Consider the following 16,964-nt stretch of genomic DNA (forward strand, 5'->3'; position numbering starts at 1 on the left):
CCATTTGCATGTTCTACAAAAAGACTGCTTCCAAACTCCTCAATCAAAAGAGAGGTATAACTCTGTGATAGGAAAGCACACTTCACAAAGAAGTTTCTCGGAATGCTTCTGTCTAGTTTTTATGTGAAGATATTTCCTATTTCACCTTAGGCCATAAAGGGCTCACAAATATCCCTCTGCAGATTCTAGAAAAGGACTCTTTCCAAACTGCTTAATCAAAAGAAAGTTTCAACTCTGTGAGATGAATGCACACATCACAAAGAAGTTTCTCAGAAAGCTTCTGTCCACTTTTTATTTGAAGATATTTCCCTTTTCACCATACCTATCAAAGCACTCAAAATATCCCTTTGCAGATTCTCTGAAAAGACTGTTTCCAAACTTCTCAATCAAAAGAATGATTCAACTCTGTGAGATGAATGCACATATCACAAAGAAGTTTCTCTGAAGTCTTCTGTCTAGTTTTTATGTGAAGATATTTCCTTTTTCACCATAGGCCTAAAGCCACTCACAAATATCCCTTTGCAGATTTTACAAGAACAGAGTTTCCAGACTCATCAAAGAATAGAAACTTTTATCTCTCTGAGATGAGTGCACATCTTACAGAACAGCTTCTCAGAAAAATTCTTTATAGTTTTTATTGAAGATATTTCCTTTTTCACCATAGGCCTCATAGAGCTGACAAATATCCCTTTGCGGATTCTACAAAAAGTCTGTTTACAAACTGCTCAATCAAAAGAATGGTTCAACTCTGTGAGATAAATGCACACATCACAAAGAGGTTTCTCAGAAATTTTCTGTCTAGTTTTTATGTGAAGATATTTCCTTTCTCACCATAGGCCTCAAAGCGCTAATAAATATCCCTTTGCAGAATCTACAAATAGACAGTTTTCAAACTGCTCAGCAAAAAGACTGTTTCAACTCTGTGAGATGAATGCACCCATGACAAGGAGGTTTCTCAGAGAACTTCTGTCTATTTATTATGTGAAGGTATTTCATTTTTCCCCAAAGGCCTCAAAGCGCTCACCAATATCTCCTTGCAGATTCTACAAGAACAGAGTATCCAAACTGATTAATCAAAAGAATGCTTCACATAAAATCCCTAGAAGAAAACCTAGGCAATACCATTCAGGACATAGGCATGGGCAAGGACTTCATGTCTAAAACACCTAAAGCAATGGCAACAAAGCCACAATTGACAAATGGGATCTAATTAAACTAAGGAGCTTCTGCACAGCAAAAGAAACCACCATCAGAGTGAACAGGCATCCTACAGAATGGGAGAAAGTTTTTGCAACCTACTCATCTGACAAAGGGTTAATATCCAGAATCTACAATGAACTCAGACAAATTTACAGGAAAAAAGTCAAACAACCCCATCAAAAAGTTGTTGAAGGTTATGAACAGACCCTGATCAAAAGAAGACATTTATGCAGCTAATGAACAAATGAAAAAATGCTCATCATCATTGGCTATCAGAGAAATGCAAACCAAAACCACAATGAGATATCATCTCACACCAGTTAGTATGGTGATAATTAAAAAGTTAGGAAACAACAGGTGCTGGAGAGGATGTGAGAAATAGGAACATTTTGCACTGTTGGTGGACTGTAAACTAGTTCAACAATTGTGGAAGTCAGTGTGGTGATTCCTCAGGGATCTAGAACTAGAAATATCACTTGACTCAGCCATCCCATTACTGGGTATATACCCAAAGGATTATAAATCATGCTGCTTTAAAGACACATGCACACGTATGTTTATAGCGGCACTATTCACAACAGCAAAGACTTGGAACTGACCTAAATGTCCAACAACGATAGACTGTATGAAGAAAATGTGGCACATATACACCATGGAATACTATGCAGCCATAAAAATAATGAGTTCATTTCCTTTGTAGGGACATGGATGAAGCTGGAAACCATCACTCTCAGCGAACTATTGGAAGGACAAAAAATCAAACACCACATGTTCTCACTCATAGTTGGGAATTGATCAATGAGAACACATGAACACAGGAAGCAAAACACCACACACCACACATCAGGGACTGTATTCGGGTGGGGGGAGGGGGAGGGATAGCATTAGGAGATATACCTAATGCTAAATGATGAGTTCATGGGTGCAGCACACAAACATGACACATGTATACATATGTAACAAACCTGCACATTGTACATATGTACCCTAAAACTTAAAGTATAATAATAATAAAAGTAAATAAATAAATAAATAAACCCAGAGCTCCAAAAAAAAAAAAAAAGAAGAATGGTTCAACTCTATGAGATGAATGCACACGTCACAAATAAATCTCTCAGAAAGCTTCTGTCTACATTTTATATGAAAATATTTCCTTTTTCACCATAGGCCTCAAAGCACTCACAAATATCCCTTTGCAGACTCTACAAGGAAAGAGTTTCCCATCTGCTCAATGAAAAGAAACCTTTACCTCTGTGAGATGAATGCACACATTACAAAGCAGTTTCTCAGAAACCTTCTGTCTAGTTTTCATGTGAAGTTATTTCCTTTTTCCCCATAGGCCTCAAAGTGCTCACAAATATTCCTTTGCTGATCCTACAAAAAGACTGTTTCCAGACTGCTCAATCAAAAGAATGTTTCAACAGTGTGAGATGAGTGCACACATCACACAGAAGTGTCTCAGAAAGCTTCTGTCCCAAGTGAAGATATTTCCTTTTTCACCACAGGCCTCAAAACATTCACAAATATCCCTTTGCAGATTCTACAAAAAGACTGTTTCCAATATGCTCTATCAATAGAAAGGTTTAACTCTGTGAGATGAATTCACACATCACAAAGCAGTTTCTCAGAAACCTTCTTTCTAGTTTTTATGTGAAGATATTTCCTTTTTCACCATAGGCTTCAAAGTGCTCAGAAATATCCTTTTGCAGATTTTACAAAAAGATTGTTACCAAACTGCTCTATCAAAAGAATGGTTCAACTCTGTGAGATGAGTGCACACTAACAAAAAAAGTTTCTCAGAAAGCTTCTGTCTAGTTTTTATGTGAAGATATTTCCTTTTTCACCATTGGCCTCCAAGCACTCACAAATATCCCTTTGTCAATTCTACAAAAATACTGTTTCCAAACTGCTCAATCAAAAGAATAGTTCAACTCTGTGAGATGAATGCATACATAACCAGGAAGTTTCTCAGAAACTTCTGTCAAGTTTTTATGTGATGATATTTCCTTTTTCACCATAGGCCTCAAAGTGCTCACAAATATCCCTTTGCAGATTCTACAAGAAAAGAGTTTCTCATTTGCTCAATGAAAAGAAACATTTACCTCTGTGAGATGAATGCACACATCACAAAGCAGATTCTCATAAACCTTCTTTCTAGTTTTTATGTGAAGATATTTCCTTTTTCACCATAGGCCTCAAAGCTCTCACAAATATCCCTCTGCAGATTCTACAAAAACACCATTTCCAAGCATTTCAATCAAAAGAATGGTTTAACTCTGTGAGATGAATGCACACGCCACAAAGTAGTTTCTCAGAAAGCGTCTGTCTAGTTTTTATGTGAAGATATTTCCTTTTCCACCATAGGCCTCAAAGCACTCACAAATACCATTTTGCAGATTGTACAAGAACTGAGTTTCCAGACTGATCAAAGGAATGAAACGTTTAACTCGGTGAGATGAATGCACACATCACAGAGCAGTTTCTCAGAAACCTTCTTTATAGTTTTTATGTGAAGGTATTTCCTTTTTCACCATGGCCTCAAAGCACTCACAAATATCCCTTTGCAGATTCTACAACAACGGAATTTCCAAACTGCTCATAATTAGTTTTTAGGACCAACATGAGCATTTAGACACACTGCTTGTGGTGCAGCACACATGTATTATCCACACTGAAATTAGGAATTCAACTGAAGTTCATGTAGAGCCAAAAATGTGAATATATGGGAGACCTCAGAGATGATCTAGCTCACTTTAATTTGTAGAAAAGAAAACAGGTTCAGGGAAAGGGCATGCATTGCTAAGGTGATTCAGCAGCTTTGGCACAGAAACACAACACACTTAAGGTGACTCTTCAGGTTTGGAGTAGAAACGCAATATAATCTCTGTTCTTTTGCTTCTCAGATCCAGAATTTTTTCACAATACTGAACTACTTATGTTTCTGATTCCTTATTTTTTCTTTCTAAATTTTGCCAGTACTGTCTAACAAAGATCTATTCTTTACCATAAATATTTAAATTCGTTACCACTATTGTCTCTTTATAAGTAAAATTACTAGTTGCTATTATAAATGATTATTCAATCACTTTTCATTTTTGGGGGGTTCAGTACAAAGTTAGTAACAAATAAACAATATTGGCCTTGGCAATGCAAGAGGAGCTCAAGTCCTCCAGGGCACATCAGGAAAAGGCTAAATGACAGCTGTGCTGTGAGTGGACAGAATACAGCTCTCATACAGACTATTGAGTATTTGATGTTCTTCAACAATTTCATTAATCTTCAGTTTTTTTCCTCTTTGAAGTGAAAGTCTGCTATGACTTTCAAGTTTCTTTTGAAATAATTATAGATTCACAGGAAGTTGCAAAAGGTACAGGGATGTCTTAAGTACTCTTCACTAATTCCAGTGGTGACATCTTACATAGCTATAGAGCATTATCAAAACCTGGAAACTGACATAGGTACAATTCAGAAAGCTTACTCAGATAGCAACCGTTTTGTATGCATTCATTTTTGTATGTGTGTATGCGTGTGCGTGTGTTCTGTGCATTTTTATGTGGTGTAGATCTCTGTAACTACCACTTCCACAGTCAAGATACAGAACTGTAGCATCACCACCCGGCTCCAACTTGCGATCTTTGCTGACACTCTGACACGTTTTCCTCCACCTCTTCCCCTTGGCAACCCCATAGCCTGTTCTCCATCTTTACAATTATATTTCAATAATTTATATAAATGTAATTGTACAAAATCGTATTTTTAAATGGAAAAAAACAAGTCACAAATAGTTTTGTTAGCACTGTAAAATAGTCTTTAACATTCATTTGTTTTATGTTCTATTTGTCTCAGAAAAATGTGCTTTGTTCTTTCCCATACTTTCTGATATCAGGATAGGAAATCAATACCAAACAAAAAATTTCCATTCATTTTTTTCCACAGCTTGGTTTTCACTGTTGTTGCCCAACATTTATTGTTCCATTTACTCTTTCTCTCTGTTTTCCATCACATAAAAGTAACTTTGTGTTCTTTATCTCTTCTAAGAAAACTTGGTAATGAGTCTTTAATGTGACGCCTGGACCACCCTTGTTTTGATTTTGTGTTATGGGTGTTCTTTTGTTTGATCATTCTCATGGAGAGTCCTTGTGAAGCTGGGCTTTTCCAGTGGTTTGTCAAAATGGAAATAGATATTTAACAAACCAAACATAAAATGACCTTGCTCCAGGAATGCATCATTTCTGAGAAAACACTACCTCTTCCAACTAGAGATTGTGAATATTACTCATACTATCCTTTACTCCCTTTATTAAAACTGTATTTTTTTTTACACATTTGTATAACTCGGGTAATGAAATGTGAAACTAAGTGATTGCCTACCAATTACAATTGGTGTTAACGATGCTACTGGGAGGCCACCCCTACAGTGGCTGCACCGAGTTTAGGGACTTGCTAGCTTTGCTAAGTTACATGGGATTGCCTACGTGCTAAATGGAGGTGGGGGACTGGTCCAAGGATGCAGCAGCGCCACCCTGGCCCGACGTGGAAGCTACAGACCGGGCCCCAGGCACTGGGCGGCTGAGAGCCGGAGGCGGGCTCACGATGGTGGACGACACCACAGCATCCAGCGAGTCACCGCCAAGGGCACGCAAACCCCAGGACCGCGGCCACGAGTGCTGCCAGACGGGCCGCGTGGCGGGCTTCCGGCCCCGGACACAACAGCGATGCGTGCTGGGCAGGCGGGGGGCGGGCGGGCGAGGAGGACTGTGCCTTGGAGGGGTGTTGGGGAGGAGGGGCGCTGCAGTAGCGGTGGGCTGGTTGCTGGGCAACCACCAGGGGCGGCGGCGAACCGCGGTGACCGGGACATGCTCCCCCACCCTCTCTCCGGCGGACCCTTCCTACTTGCCTTCCTCCCCCCACAACAAACCCACACTACCCACGACGCGCGACGACGACGGCACGGGACCTTCCACCCCACCAGGGCCAACGAACCCTGCACCATGAGCTGCCTGAGGCGCGAGGGAGCCACCGAGGGAGGAACCCGGACTGCGGTGGTGGCCACGGGAACTCGGCCCCAGCCGGCTCTCTTCCCTCCTGTTTTTGCGGGTGGCAACGCCGCCCTCTCTCTCTTCCTCACAGCTGGGAGCCCCCCTTCCCCATGCCATTCAATGCGTGACCACACAGGGCCTGTGGGGGGAGGGAGAAGGGGCGGGCATGGTGGTAGAGGAGGGCGGACGTCACTGGTCTGCACTTGGGGGGACAGAGGGCCCCGGCAGGCCATGCAAGGGAACTCCCAGCCGTGAACCTCAAGGAGCCCGGAGGCACCCCCGGGGACTATTGATCCACAAGCGACGCTTAGACAGGCATAGCCCTGGGAGGAATCCGGGCCGCAAGTGCGTTCGAAGTGTCGATGATCAATGTATCCTGCAATTCACATTAGTTCTCACAGCTAGCTGTGTTCTTCATCAACGCAGAAGGCCAGTGATCCACCGCTAAAAGTCATACAAGGTGGATTTGGCAAGGGTGCTCCCAACACCCGGAGGCCCTACTGGCACAACAGGTGCCCCAGAGGGTTTACCTCAGGCTGTCCATTCAGACAGCAATGGGACCAGACTCCAGAGAGGGGTCGGAAGGTTTCACAACACAGGGAGGCAGTGCCGACCATGAGGGGGCGAACGTTGACAGCACCCCACGGGCACCCAGGGATTCCCACCCCCACAGCGCAAGGCACAGGCCACATGCGCGGCACACGTGCGATGGCACGACGGCCGCCGGTAAAGCCCCCACTGGTGTCAGCGGTGACACGCAAGTGCGGCGCGGCCCCGGCTGGCTGAGGGGACAGAGTCGGTGGGGGAGGCGAGAGAGGGGCGGGCCCCTCCCGAACAGACTCCCCCGCAGACCCACCGCACCCAACCCACGGGAAGACGGGCGACACCCCAAGGGGTCCATAAACCTCCCCGCCAGAACACGCTAGGAACCTGGACGGTGGTGGCGAACGAGGAGGTGGGGACAGGTGTCCAGCCCCCTACCCTCGAGACGCCCTAGCGGGAAGGCTGGGGAGAGTGAGCAGGCCAGGCCGGGCCCAGTGGCATGGTGTGGCAGAGGCGAGGATGGTGGCAGCCACAGCAGCGATGGGAACCCGGCCGGCCCCAATGGGAGCCGGCGGGATGGGGCCGAGCCAGCGGGACAGGGCGGGACGACAGCTCTGGCGGGGAGGACACCGAGACCCCCACCCCACCAGGACGCCGAGAACCATTCCCTCACCCGCCGACACACACGTGGGGGCCACGGCAGGGGGCCGCTCCCCGCTGCTCACCAGGCCAGCAAGGCATCCAGCCCGCCCCATGATATGCACACATGGTTTCGTCCCTGCACGCGTGTCTCTCTCTCCCCCTTCTCCCTCCCGAGTTCTCCGGCTCTCAGGGCAGGCGGGGCCGTGCAACAAACAAAGGGCACGACCCCGCCCACACACGCGCCACACGAGGAACATGGTCTGCCAAGGAGGAAGGATGCGGCGGCACTGCCGCGGCTTCACCCCCGCGGCTTCGCTCTTCTCGGTTAATGATCCCTCAGCAGGTTCACCTACCGAAACTTTGTTAGGACTTTTACTTCCTCTAGATAGTCAAGTTCACCTGTCTTCTCAGCGCTCTGCCAGGGTAGTGGGCTGACCTGGCGGGGCCCATCCGAGGGCCTCACTAAACCATCCTATCAGTAGTAGCGACGGGCAGTGTGTACATAGGGCAGGGACTTCAGGTAAGCTTATGACCCACACTTACTGGAAATTCCTCCTTCATGGGGAATAATTGCAATCCCCCATCCCCATCACGAATGGGGTTCAACAGGTTACCCGCCTCTGCCACATAGGGTAGGCACACGCTGAGCCAGTCAGTGTAGCGCATGTGCAGCCCCGTACATCTAAGGGCATCACAGACCTGTTATTGCTCAATTTCCGGTGGCTGAACGCCACTTGTCCCTCTAAGAAGTTGGGGGACGCCGACCGCTCAGAGGTCGCGTAATAAGTTAGCATGCCAGAGTCTCGTTGGTTATCGGAATTAACCAGACAAATCACTCCACCAACTAAGGCCATGCACCACCACCCATGGAACAGAGAAAGAGCTATCAATCTGTCAATCCTGTCCATGTCTGGCCGGGTGATTTTTCCCATGTTGAGTCAAATTAAGCCATAGGCGCCACTCCTGCTGGTCCCTTCCACCAATTCCTTTAAGTTTCAGCTTTGCAACCATACTCCCCCCGGAACCTAAAAACCCAAAGACTTTAGTTTCTTGGAAGCTGCCCAGCGGGTCATGGGAATAACGCCGCCACATCGCCAGTTGGCATCGTTTATGGTCGGAACTACGACTGTATCTGATCGTCTTCGAACCTCTGACTTTCGTTCTTGATTAATGAAAACATTCTTGGCAAATGCTTTCACTCTGGTCCGAACTGCGCCGGTCCAAGAATTTCACCTCTAGCAGCGCAATACGAATGCCCCCACCTTTCCCTCTTAATCATGGTCTCAGTTCCGAAAACCAACAAAATAGAACCGCGGTCCTATTCCATTATTCCTAGCTGAGGTATCCAGGTGGCTCGGACCTGCTTTGAACACTCTAATTTTTTCAAAGTAAACGCTTCGGGCTGCAGGACACTCAGCTAAGAGCATCAAGGGGGCGCCAAGAGGCAAGGGGTGGGGATGGGCGGTGGCTCGCCTCGTAGCGGACCGCCCGCCCATTCCCAAGATCCAACTACGAGCTTTTTAACTGCAGCAACTTTAATATACGCTATTGGAGCTGGAATTACCGTGGCTGCTGGCACTAGATTTGCCCTCCAATGGATCCTCATTAAAGGATTTAAAGTGGACTCATTCCAATTACAGGACCTCAAAAGAGTCCTGTATTGTTATTTTTCGTCACTACCTCTTCGGGTCGGAAGTAGGTAATTTGCATGCCTGCTGCCTTCCTTGAATGTGGTAGCCATTTCTCAGGCTCCCTCTCCAGAATCGAACTCTGATTCCCCATCTCCCATGGTCACCATGGTAGGCACAGCAACTACCATTGAAAGTTGATAGGGCAGACGTTCGAATGGGTCGTCCCTGCCACGGGGGGCATGCGATTAGCCCGAGGCTATCTAGAGTCACCAAAGCCAGTGGCACCCGAACCCCTCCCCCGGCCTGGGCTGAAGAGGGGCTGACCGGGTTGGTTTTGATCTGATAAATGCACGCATCTTCCCCGCGAAGGGGATCAGTGCCCTTCGGCATGTATTAGCTCTATAATTACCACAGTTTTGCAAGTAGGAGAGGAGAAAGCGACCAAAAGAACCGTAACTGATTTAATGAGCCATTCGCAATTTCACTGTACCAGCCCTGCGTACTTAGACATGTATGGCTTAATCTTTGAGACAAGCATATGGTACTGGTAGGATCAACCACATAAGTAGAAAGCGGCCTCCGGGCCTCGCAAGGATGAGCCCGGAGTCCCAGTCACGAGGATGGGGTGGCAGGGTGGGCGACCAGGCGTGTGGGAGGGATGGAGCAGCTCAGTGCGGTGGGAGGGGGGTGGTGGAGCGGCGAACCAGAAATCCCATACACCCACAGTACACATCACCCCACGATGGGCTCACCACTCCCGACCCTTCGCGCCCACGTGCGAGGAGGCAGACCGCCCGACCCGTGAGCGGCAGCCGCGAGGGACAGGCGGCCACTCGCGCATGGCAGGTGTGGGGCAGCCCCGACGTTTGGGCAGCAAACGAGAGGTGGACCGCGGTGCCCGGGGTCTCAACGCCAGCGGCCTCCAAGCACCAAGGCGGCACCGAGCGGCACCTGGAGCGGCCGACTGGCCTTCGGCGGGCCCGCGGCTCCCACATCGCCGCCGCCATCGCAGCCAGCGCCCGGAATCCTCTTCCCTGCACGCGCTGCAGGCCGACCCCAAACCCTCCGGGCGCCCACCAGGCCCATGCGGGGCACCGCCGACCTGGTCCCGAAGGCGCGTGCCCAGGGACACGGACAACGGGCCAACCAGTGGCCGGCGGTGGTGCCACACAAGGCGGAGCAGGGTTTGGTCCCAGACGGGGCCACCACAGCCTAAGCCAGCGAGCCGCTCGGGGAGAGAGGATCCGCGGGTGGGGAGGGGGGCACAGACAGGCAAGGCCAGGGACCCCGAGGGCAAGGGCACCCGGGAGCCCGCAGAGGGGCGGCTCGGGCAGAAACCTCAGGCACGTCCGGGCCACCAGGAAAACACGGCCATGGGATCCCACTGCCACAGACACTAGGGAGGTCCCGTGGCGCCCCGCCTAGGACGCCGGACGGCCCTTGGCACCCACCGAGACCCGCCTCACGAGCCCGGGTCCTGCCATCGGGACCCAGAAGCGACTGCAGCCACAAACCCAATGCCAGGGCCACGTTGCGCATTTCTCGTCCATCCTCCCACCCGTTCAAGCTCTGGGAGACCAGCGTGCCCCCCACTTGGGACACTTCCCATGGCCAGGAGGCCCAATGCCCTGCCATGCAAACGCGGTCGTCGGCACCGGTCGCTGCTCCTCAGGGGAGCGGGTCACGAGCCGGACAGAACGCTGGGCACAGCCACTGCTCGCGAAGCCTCCCAAACGCTAGGACGCAGGCTCGGCCTGGCGGGATCCTCCCCCGACTAGGAAGGGGGAGGCGCGGGCCACACAGTAGGCGACGAGCTGCCCTCCATCCCCACCGCTGAGGCCAGGGGAACCCTCGCTCTCCCCATGTCACCCCGTCGAGGGGGAAGTGGAGGAGGGTCCCCTGCAAGCGAGTGACTACGGCAGCGCTACCATAACGCAGAGAGAGGCGGCAGGCAGGGGAATCCGGTACTCCAAAGGCACACCTGTCGGATCGCTAAAGAAGGCTTTCTCACCGAGGGTGGGTCACACTCCCCACCCGCCAATCGCCCCTCATCGGGCCCGCAGAGGCAGTCAGGGACGCCTGGGGAAGTGAGGGGGCCGGCGGTACCAGGAAAAATCTGCGTGCGGCAACTTTGAGCCTTCGCGGTCTGGGCGGGGGGCCTGGCCACTGTACGTGGGTGCAATCCCCCAAGTGCCCCCCCGTCCACCCGCCTCCTTTCTCCCAGGCAAAGCGCCTCCAAGTAAACCCACACACAACCTGTTGGAGGCAGAACGGTAGCCCCTCGGTGGCCGGCCGGCGCATGCGTCACCTGCCCGAGCCCACCGCGCTCGCTCACACGGCCCACGCGCACACGCCAGAGGGGAGCACGGGACCTGCACTTGCCAGACCAGGCGGCGCCCTTCCCTGTGTGGGAGGGGCGCATCTCACTCAACCCCCTCGACCCCCACACCAATGAGCTCCCTCAGGACCCACTCTCGGACATCGCTGTGGTGAATGGAGGAGGGGGAGCTGGGGGTGGGAACCACACACCACCGCTCGGCCTCCGGCACCTGAATGATAAGATGGCGGGGGAAGGGGGAGAGCCGGGCGTGGTACGCTCACGCCTGTCATCCCTGCACTTTGGGAGGTGAGGGAAGGTGGATCCCTCGATCCAAGCTTTGGCAACATGGTGAAACCTCGTCTCTAAAAAAATACAAAAACTAACTGGTTTCATAACCTGGACTCAAAATTAATAAATAGATAAATAGGCCGGGTGCGGTGGCTCACGCCAGTAATCCCAGCACTTTGGGAGGCCGAGGCGGGCAGATCACGGGGGTCAGAAGATCGAGACCATCCTGGCTACCACAGTGAAACCCCATCTCTACTCAAAATACAAAAAATTAGCCAGACACTGATGGGTGCCTATAGTCCCAGCTATTTGGGAGGCTGAGACAGGAGAATGGCGTGAACCCCGGAGGCAGAGCTTGCAGTGAGCCATCACGCCACTGCACTCCAGTCTGGGCAACAGAGCGAGAGTCCGTCTCAAAAAATAATAATAATAATAAATAGATGGAAATAGAAAATTTAAAAAAAAACGTAGCTGGCCGGGCGCAATTGCTCACGCCTGTCATCCCAGCACTTTGGGAGGCCAAGGTGGGCAGATCACCTGAGGTGGCCAGTTCGAGACCCACCTGACCCACATAGAGAAATGCCATCTCTACTAACAATACAAAATCAGCCGGGTGTGGTGACACATGCCTGTAATCCCAGCTACTCAGGAGGCTGAGGCAGGAGAATCGCTTGAATACGGGAGGTGGAGGTTGCGGCGAGCCGAGATGGTGCCATTGCACTCCAGCATGGGCAACAAGAGTGAAACTCCGTCCAAAAAAAAAAATTAAGCCCTGTATTCTGTTATTTTTACTTCCTACCCTGAGAAGAACATAATACAACTGTTGTCTGTCTGCCTGCCTGCCTGCCTGCCTGCCTGCCTGTGACAGGGCCTCACTCTGTCTTTCGCCCAGACTGGAGTGCACTGACACCATTATGGCTCACTCATTGCAGCCTCAAACTCCCCAGGGTTAGGCGATTCCTCAAGGGATCCTACGGCCTCGGCCTCCCAAAGTGTTGGGGTTACAGGCGTGAGCCACCATCACCCGGCCTGAGTTAATACATCTGGTCTCACTACGTGTTAACCACACACCCATGAAGAACTCAAGTCAAGAGAGAGTTGGTAAAAGACTCTCAGCATTCTCTCCCGAAAGCAGTGAGGTGGATGGCGGCCGTGTGTCCCGAGCTCCTGTGGTTTCAGGTGATTTCCAATGTTTCCAGAGAGGCGTGAGCCGCAGTCATTCGGGGCATCCGAGCATGAGATGGGGTTTCTGACGCGACTTAAGGGCCAGGAAGGGCCAGAATCTGCCAAGGCCTGTGTCCCAGGGTGGGGTCGATGGAACCCAAGGTAGAGGGAGTCTGTGGTCCGCATGGAGAGAGCTCCAGCCCTAGGCCCCACTGTGTAGACTGAATCAGAAGGAAGAGAGTCCTTCGTCCTACATGCCACATTCCTCCACAGAACTTGGGAGCAAATCCGTTTTCCAAACATGAGGTGACTCTCGCTTTGCAATGGATAACAAGGGGACAGGCTTTCCAAGTCTGCAGGGTAAAGAAGTCATTCTGGCTCGGCCTCCCCCATCCCCTGGTAACTGGTGAGTTTAAATGAGCCAAGGCTGGCTGGGCCGGAGCTCCTACGGGGGGGGGGAGGGGGGTGGGCAGGGTGGGGGGGTGCCTGAGACACTGCAGAAAGTGGGTCTGAGCCTCAAGGATGACGGTGCTGCAGGAACCCGTCCAGGCTGCTATATGGCAAGCACTAAACCACTATGCTTACTGAGATGGGGTTTTCCTCGCAGAACACCTTTATGCAGAAGTACACTCAGAAGAAGCCATGTTTTACTGGCGACTTGTTCTTACCGCCCAGGAAAGGCCTACAAAGCATATAGACTCTTGAAAGGACACAGTTGTCCTACACCGCAATGCAAATACCTGCTTGCAAAATGTTGTGTTGATCTCAGCAAGTTTGCAGAAGGGGAACAAATCTTATCCGGTGGAGTGTTTAATAAGTAGAAAAGCCATGATGATATTGTTACTGAGTTTGGTGATTCAGCTTGCTTTCCCCTTCCATTGTTGGGACATGTATATTGCAAGACTGATCGGCTTGCCAAAGGATCAGAATGTGACCAAAAGTGGCTTAGTTTAAAGCCTTTCCTCTGGTATCCCTTTGAATCATTATGTGAAATAGGTGAAAAGCCAGATCCTGACCAAACATTTAAATTCACGTCTTTTCAGAACTTTAGCAACTGTCTGCCCAACTCTTGCACAACACAAGTACCTAGTCATAGTTTATGTCACAGACAGCCTGAGACCTTTCTTACGGAAACAACTGAATTAGACAGATTGAATTTAGAATCTTCAAATTCAAAGTATTCCTTGAATACAGATTACTCAGTGTCTTCTACTGATTCAGCGTAATTTCACCTGATACTGTCCCACTGGGAACAGGAACTTCCATATTATCTAAACAGGTTCAAAATAAACCAAAAACTGGTCGAAGTTTATTAGGAGGACCAGGAGCTCTTAGTCCATTAACCCCAAGTTTTGGGATTTTGCCATTAGAAACCCCAAGTCCTGGAGATGGATCCTATTTACAAAACTACACTAATACACCTTCTGAAATTAACGTGCCATCCACCAGAGCCCCTTCAAAAAAGTCTGTTGCCAGAATCGGCCAAACTGGAGCAAAGTCTGTCTTCTCACAGAGTGGAAGTAGAAGAGAGGTAACTCCAATTCTTGCACAAACAGAAAGTTCTGGTCCATAAATAAGTACAACACCTCAGGTATTGAGCCCCACTATGACATATCCCCTAAATGTACTGCCTCGAAGAAATTCATGACTCTTTACTAGTGACAGTTCCACAACAAAGGAGAATAGGAAGAAATTAAAAAAGAAGTTTCCACCTAAAATCCCAAACAGAAAAACAAAAAGTAAAACTAATAAAGGAGGAATAACTCAACCTAACATAGATGATAGCCTGGAAATTACAAAATTGGACTCTTTCATCATTTCAGAAGAGAAAATATCCACAATCACACCTCAGATTCAGGCTTTTAATCATAAAAAACAGCAGCAGAAGGCTTGATGAGTCTTCTTCGTGAAAGGGGGAAAGTTATTTAGCTTTCTGCTCATACCACTGCAAAGAAGCTATAAATATTTTGAGCCATCTACCTTCTCACCACTATAATACTGGTTGGGTACTGTGCAAAATTGGAAGGGTCTATTTTGAACTTTCAGAGTACAAGCAAGCTGAAAGAATATTCTCAGAGGTTAGAAGGATTGAGAATTATAGAGTTGAAGGCATGGAAATCTACTCTACAACATTTTGGCATCTTCAAAAAGATGGTGCTCTTTCAGTTCTGTCAAAAGACTTAACAGACGTGGATAAAAATCTGCCAGAGGCCTGGTGTGCTGCAGGGAACTGTTTCAGTCTGCAATGGGAACACGATATTGCAATTAAATTCTTCCAGAGAACTATCCAAGTGGATCCAAATTATGCTTATGCCTATACTCTATTAGGGCGAGAGTTTGTCTTAACTGAAGAATTGGACAAAGCATTAGCTTGTTTTTGAAATGCTATCAGAGTCAATCCTAGACATTGTAATGCACGGTAAGTGGTAATGAAGTGTAAAGACAAAGTCTTGTTGATGGTGCTGGTAGTCACTAATTTTTCTTGTTAGATAGCTCTTTTATTGTCATGAATTTGGTTACTAATATTTAGGGATGGTACATACTGGTCAATAACTTCAAACTAACATGTTTTCTTATGAAATGTGTGTCTTTAACAAACTCTTAAGTTAACTAATGATAATAGAATACCAGAACCTTATACTCAACAGTTTCAGTCTTCTACCAAACTTTTGCAGATACTGTAGTTGTGTTTTGTTTGTTTGTATGCTTGTTTAGTTTTGTTACTTGATTTGTTAGTTTTTCATCGAACAGAGAAATGGTGATTGGGACAAAAAGTGCTTGGGAAATTGGAAAGGAATAGCATAATTCACTTATTGGATAATAGAAAAAAAAAACACTGAAAAAATTCACTAGTTGTTGCTTTTTGACAGTGTTCCAGGTTATTGAGTTACTATTAAGAACTTAGTATACCCTTTTATTTAGCAGTATCTCTGTTTTCCTTTTTTTACTTCTGTATAAGTAGACACATAGGAAATTACTATCCAGGTCATATTGTTATCAACTGAATAACATATGAAAAAGTTTGGTCCTACATCTGCCTCAACACCATACTTACTGTTGACATTTATTGTATTTTTCTGAACTGACTTAAAAGTTTAAATGTCAAGAGAAGGCCAGGCAAGGTGGCTCATGCCTGTCATCCTAGCACTTTGGGAGGCTGAGTCGGGCGGATCACAAGGTCAAGAGATTGAGACCATCCTGTCCAACATGGTGAAACCCCGTCTCTATTAAAATATAAAAATTAGCTGGGCATGGTGGCAGGCACCTGTAGTCCCACCTACTCAGGAGGCTGAGGCAGGAGAATCGCTTGAACCTGGGAAGTGGAGGTTGCAGTGAGCCAAGATTATGCCATTTTACTCCAGCCTGGGTGACAGAGCAAAACGCCATCTCAAGAAAAAAATAGAATAAAATAAATAAATTAATAAATAAATATCAAGAGAAAGTATAATTCTGAAGTCATAACTCTGTGGAAGCTTTTTTGTCAGATACGGTTATCTTTGGGGGTAATTATTATAGCAGTTGAGTTTTAACACTTGATTTGCTTCTAAATCTGAAGCATTACATTACTAAAACATTTTTTGATTTGTGACTATATTGTTTAATGGATTATATCTCATTTTGCAGTAGTAGTTGCAGTGTCTGAAAGATTGCCAAAAAAATAGTGCTAGTTTTGCTGACAAATGTAACAATCAACTTACCAAGACTGCCTTCTCTTCTGATAGCTATGTTCTCCGTAATACTTTAAGAACTCAGTTCTTCTTAAGACTTGTGTTGTTTTTGCTTTTTTCCCAAGTCTGGTTGAACCGTGTGTTGTTCTTTTTTAAAAGTCTATTGTCTGTTCAGCTATTCTGCAGGAGTCGCATTCTTAAAAACCTTAACCATATCAAAAATTGTGTTTAAAGGAGGATTATTCAGATTGGCCAGCTTTTACTAAGAGGGGTTTAAATGCTGACGTATTTAGGTAACTCTAAATACTGAGCAACTTTATTCTAACTACAAAATAGATAGCCTTTCTTTTGTTTTCACTTTCACTATCATTAGCACCGTGTTTAATACCTTTTCTTCATCTATAACACAATTATAACCATATATAAAGCCACTCAAATAAAGCAGATATATTGTGCTTTAAAAAAAATA

At 47.5% G+C, this 16,964-nt stretch overlaps 4 pseudogenes; 2 read left to right on the forward strand and 2 right to left on the reverse strand.

Moving 5' to 3' along the window:
• Positions 6,541-6,692, reverse strand: LOC110467524 (RNA, 5.8S ribosomal pseudogene; annotated as a pseudogene).
• On the forward strand, positions 7,302-12,902 carry LOC107987395 (translation initiation factor IF-2-like; annotated as a pseudogene).
• LOC110467537 (RNA, 18S ribosomal pseudogene) lies at positions 7,751-9,619 on the reverse strand (annotated as a pseudogene).
• A 459-nt stretch (positions 12,903-13,361) lies between the features above and the next one.
• The window catches only part of LOC101930589 (cell division cycle protein 27 homolog), a 19,199-nt pseudogene continuing 15,596 nt past the window's right edge, over positions 13,362-16,964 (forward strand).

Source organism: Homo sapiens, unplaced genomic scaffold (assembly GCF_000001405.40).
Source record: "Homo sapiens unplaced genomic scaffold, GRCh38.p14 Primary Assembly HSCHRUN_RANDOM_124".
In the NCBI taxonomy this organism is placed as follows: domain Eukaryota; kingdom Metazoa; phylum Chordata; class Mammalia; order Primates; family Hominidae; genus Homo; species Homo sapiens.